The 4,430-nt window shown below is 35.5% G+C and overlaps 1 annotated feature.

Annotated features, from left to right (window-relative positions):
* Window positions 879-988: an enhancer, noted in NCBI's record as "active region_7553". NCBI's record gives its function as "activates an Ori minimal core promoter by ATAC-STARR-seq in GM12878 lymphoblastoid cells {active_cell/tissue: GM12878}" and the evidence as "EXISTENCE:reporter gene assay evidence [ECO:0000049][PMID:35858748]".

Here is a 4,430-nt window from a genome sequence, read left to right as displayed (position 1 = left end):
AATTACAGTCATGAGGAGAAAAATGTGGAGCAAAGATCAGGACAATAAAAATTACAAGTATTACTAACACAAAAATGAAGATTAGATAAGGAAAGATGATCTTAGTCGATGATGGAAAGGTCAAAATTAGTATTCAGGGACTCCTTGGAAGAAGTATTCATTTTTAAAGATATTTAGAGAGATAAATAAAACATCACATTTAAAAATAGCATCCATGGGCTGGGCATAGTGGTTTATGCCTATAATTCTAGCACTTTGTGGAACCAAGGTGGGAGGATCACCTGAAGCCAGGAGTCAAGACCAGCCCAGGCAACATAGTGAGACCCCATCTCTACAGAAAAAAAAAAAAAAAAACCAGCGTGGTAGTGCACAGCTGTAGTCCCAGCTACTCAGGAGGCTGAGGTGGGTGGATCACTTGAGCCCAGGAGCTTGTGGCTGCAGTAAGCTACAATTGTGCCACTGTACCCTAGCCTAGGTGACAGAGCGAGACCCTGTCTCTAAAAAAAAGAAAAAGAAAAATTGTGCACATGGCTTATATGTTTCTGGGTATTATCCCTATTGTATCTACACATTGATATATAATACTAATAATTTAAATGTGAAAGTAACATAGGCATAAATAATTGTAATGGGAAGCACAGTAGTTGCTGTTAGGTGTTGAAGGCTACCTAACTCCAAAGATTTAGTGTAAGCAGAACCTTCAGGTGCTCCTGCAGAAAAACCTAACTGGGCTTCACTTCTCTGAATGACTGTTTAACCTCATACAAGTGAAAGTGGCTTCAAATAGAACTTTTCCAGTTCACTGCAGTCACCCTTGGAAACTGCAGCATGCATAAACAAAACTTCGGAGACTGGGAATTCCCCGATAAGAAAGGAAGTCAAAGTCAGTAAAATTAAAAGGGTTTGTATAGCATTTTCATGGGGCCTTTACTACTTCACTTTTGGCAGATACACCTGGGTGTCTGGAAGAAGCTATTAATGAAAACAAATAACGATTAAATCCTTCTGTGGGCTGATTAGTGTTGTTGTAACAACAACAAATATTGTTTTGCATGAGCAAAAATGGTAACTCCAAATGTGGCCAGACATAAGGAAATTGTGGCAAAAGTCAGAAGAGAGGTCAGGAGAGAAAGTGTGAGTGGATGAAGATGAAGGCACTCCCCTTGCCAGAAAACAAAGCATCAGTCTGTTAGCACTATCTTTACACAAAAATATCTAGTATTTGATAGCATGACAGTGTGACTACAGTCAATAGTAATTCAATTGTGTGTTTAAAAATAACTAAAAGAGTATAACTGGATTGTTTATAACACAAAGGATAAATGTTTGAGGTGAAAGATACCTCATTTACCCTGATGTGATTATTACACATTGTATGCCCATATCAAAACATCTCATATACCCCATAAATATAAACATATACTATGTACCCACAACAATTAAAATTTTTTTAAAAAGAAACTTTTCCCCTATCGTAGTGTCCACAGTCACAATGGATCTTCATGTCTTTATCTCATTTCTTGTTCTCTGGTAAACAGAAAGATTCCTGTTTAATTGATAAAGAACCCAAGGGTCACAGTTCACACAATTAGTAGTCTTTTGTTCTCCAGATCCAAGAGATTTTGTTCTTTTCTATCACTACATTTTGTTTTTCTTTTAAAATTTACATAATTAAATAGCTAGGTTATTCTATATGTATATGCTTTGGAGTTCTCATATGTTGCCATGACTCTTTTTCTATATAATGAATATTGGGTAAATTCCCCTTAAAGAAATAAATCACAAAACAGATTAAACATTTAAGTAGGAGCACTTTTTTTTTACATTCCCCAGTAAAAATTAAAAGTAAACTAATTTATTTCTTCTAAGTAAATAAGCACAAATATTACAACTGGAAATAGGCAATAACACTAAAACTCTGGGGCTGGAAACATTTGCAATTAGCCCAGGAGGATTTCTTTACAGATAACCAAACTGACCAGAGAGGTCAGGTCACGTCATTAGTTATAAAGCCTGGATGATGAAGCCCAGGTCCTAGAGTATTTTCAAAAACAGTGACTACTTCATCTTTAGAAAAAAATACACTCACTCCGCAAAGAATCTATCTCTAAAAAGGAACATATTTTTAAATAAGAAAAAGAAAAAGTAATGTTTGATATTCATAGCTAATTATCTTTATTCTAGTCACCCAGAGCACAACCAAGCCTTCAGAAGATGGCATCATCCCACCTGGGATTAAAAGTGGCACCACACCCCAAATGATTAATGTAGAAATACATATTTGATTACGAACATGACAAGTCAGGAAGGCTAGACCAGCCAGGAATAGGTATGGGAGCAACTGCTATTAAATATTTAAACAGCACTGATGTACAATAAGTACAATGTGCCAAACATGTAAAGTCTTTGGCCTAAGGAGTTTGCTGTCAGCTGTAAAGCTGGTTATTCCAGAGATATCTGTTATGTTGCTTCATTTGGTAAACAATCCATTCCATACATCAAAAAGCCATCGTTCAATAAGCTTTCTTAGGGTTAAGAATTTACACCCAATTATTTAATGCAAAATTTGTATATACTTGTCACCATATTAATAATTTTAGGAAATTCACTTTTATTTTATGACAAGTTTAAGATTATCTCTCCTTGTTGAGTCTCTTTTCATCCTTTGTATTTTATTCTTCTATATTGTTGCACAAAACACAATTTTGCAACTATGGCATACATAATGACACCAGCAAAACTAAAGAGAATTAGAAAATTTTGATTTTGTAAATGTGTGTTAGACAAGAGAAACTGTCATATAATCATAGCCAACAATATATGCAGAAGCAAGATAAATTGGTAAATAATACTGACTCAAAAACATTATGCAACTTGATTGGCGCATGAAAAGCCTACATCATCTTTATCCAAAATATAGTAAGGAAAAGAGAAGTGAAAACAGTGATGCTTCCTTTGATGGAAAATGATTTTATTTAGCTCAGGTGAGGTACATAGGATATTGTATATTTCTCACTTACATAAATCTGTGTAGGACTCAAAGTAGTTAATAAGACAACAGGGATATCTTAAAGCAAAAGTAAAATAGCAAGAATCCAAGTGATAAGGGCTTGGAGAGAAGAGAGAAAAATAATATAAAATTAATACTAAGGAAGACTATTGTTTCTTAGAAAATGATTTAGTTCTAAGCATGTTTCCAATGGCTAAGACAGAGCAGGCAGTTCAGACAGATAGGCTAAATATTTACTCATTCATTCATTCATTCATTCTTCATTTATGTGATACAGTTTTCTACCTTCAGAAGGCTTGGAGCCTGGGTTGGGGATGGCAATACAAATACATATGTACAGACTTAAACACCATAATACCATGATGTACAAAGACCTGTGGAACAAAAGGCAGAATACAACTAAATCATGTGGGGGTGGGAGTGTGAGGGACAGTTTGAGAGATATGATGACATTTGAGCTTAGCCTTGGAATAGAATATGAGTCAGAGACAAGCAAGGTGGGCAAATGAGGAAGGCTGTATGAGAGCATAACGCCACTGGAATGCCATGAGGGTCAGAGAGCAGTCCATGGTGTGGTGTGACTGGAGTATTGTGCAGAGAAGGATAAGGACCAGGAAAGAAAGCCTTCCATCTGTGCATGGGGCCAGACTGGGAGGGCTCCTGAGTCTTCAATGCCGTGCTGAAGAATGTGGGCTTGATTCCGAAAAAAGCTTAAACATGAGAGAGACACTATCAAGAAAAAAAAAAAAAAAAGGCAGATTGTTACAGAAAATCTACCAGTGGATGAGAGAACTACTTCAGGAATGCAGTTCTAGACTCCAGGAGTCTTTAGGATGGTAGACATTCCTGGGATCAGCTATTATTTTTATCCCACTTTAGAAGGAAGAATCCAGGGCACACTAGGTGGGTAAATTATTAGTTAGATTCACACACTATTAATGGAAGGAGGAGAATATAACATAGTTATGGGGATGAAGGGCATCAGCATTTCCTGAGCACCCACTGTGGGCAGAAATCACTGGATACATGTGTCAAGGAAAGGAAAAAAATAGAAAACTTAGCTCTTCTATTCAAAGAGCTAATAATTAAGACAGAAAAATGACAGAAGCGTGCCAAAAGACAGTAAACTTCTTAGGAATAATACAGATATTTATTTATTCACACAAGAGTTGATATCTTCCTGAAAAGCATACATCTCATTTTTATAAAATGAATAATTTAAAATGCATTTATATAAGGAAATTTATCAATTCATAGTATGGATAATTTATACACTTGATAATCACCCTCCAATCAGTTTTCTGATTTTTTGTAATTAAATTATTTTTCAAAAAGGACAAAGCTATAATGTAAAATGAGTTGCAAAAAAGCTACCCTCATTGAGTAATGCTGTTACTCAAATTAACATATGAACTTATCA

The sequence above is a fragment of the Homo sapiens genome, chromosome 13, assembly GCF_000001405.40.
Source record: "Homo sapiens chromosome 13, GRCh38.p14 Primary Assembly".
NCBI classification, from domain to species: Eukaryota; Metazoa; Chordata; class Mammalia; order Primates; family Hominidae; genus Homo; species Homo sapiens.
This window is presented reverse-complemented; position numbering and strand designations above follow the sequence as displayed.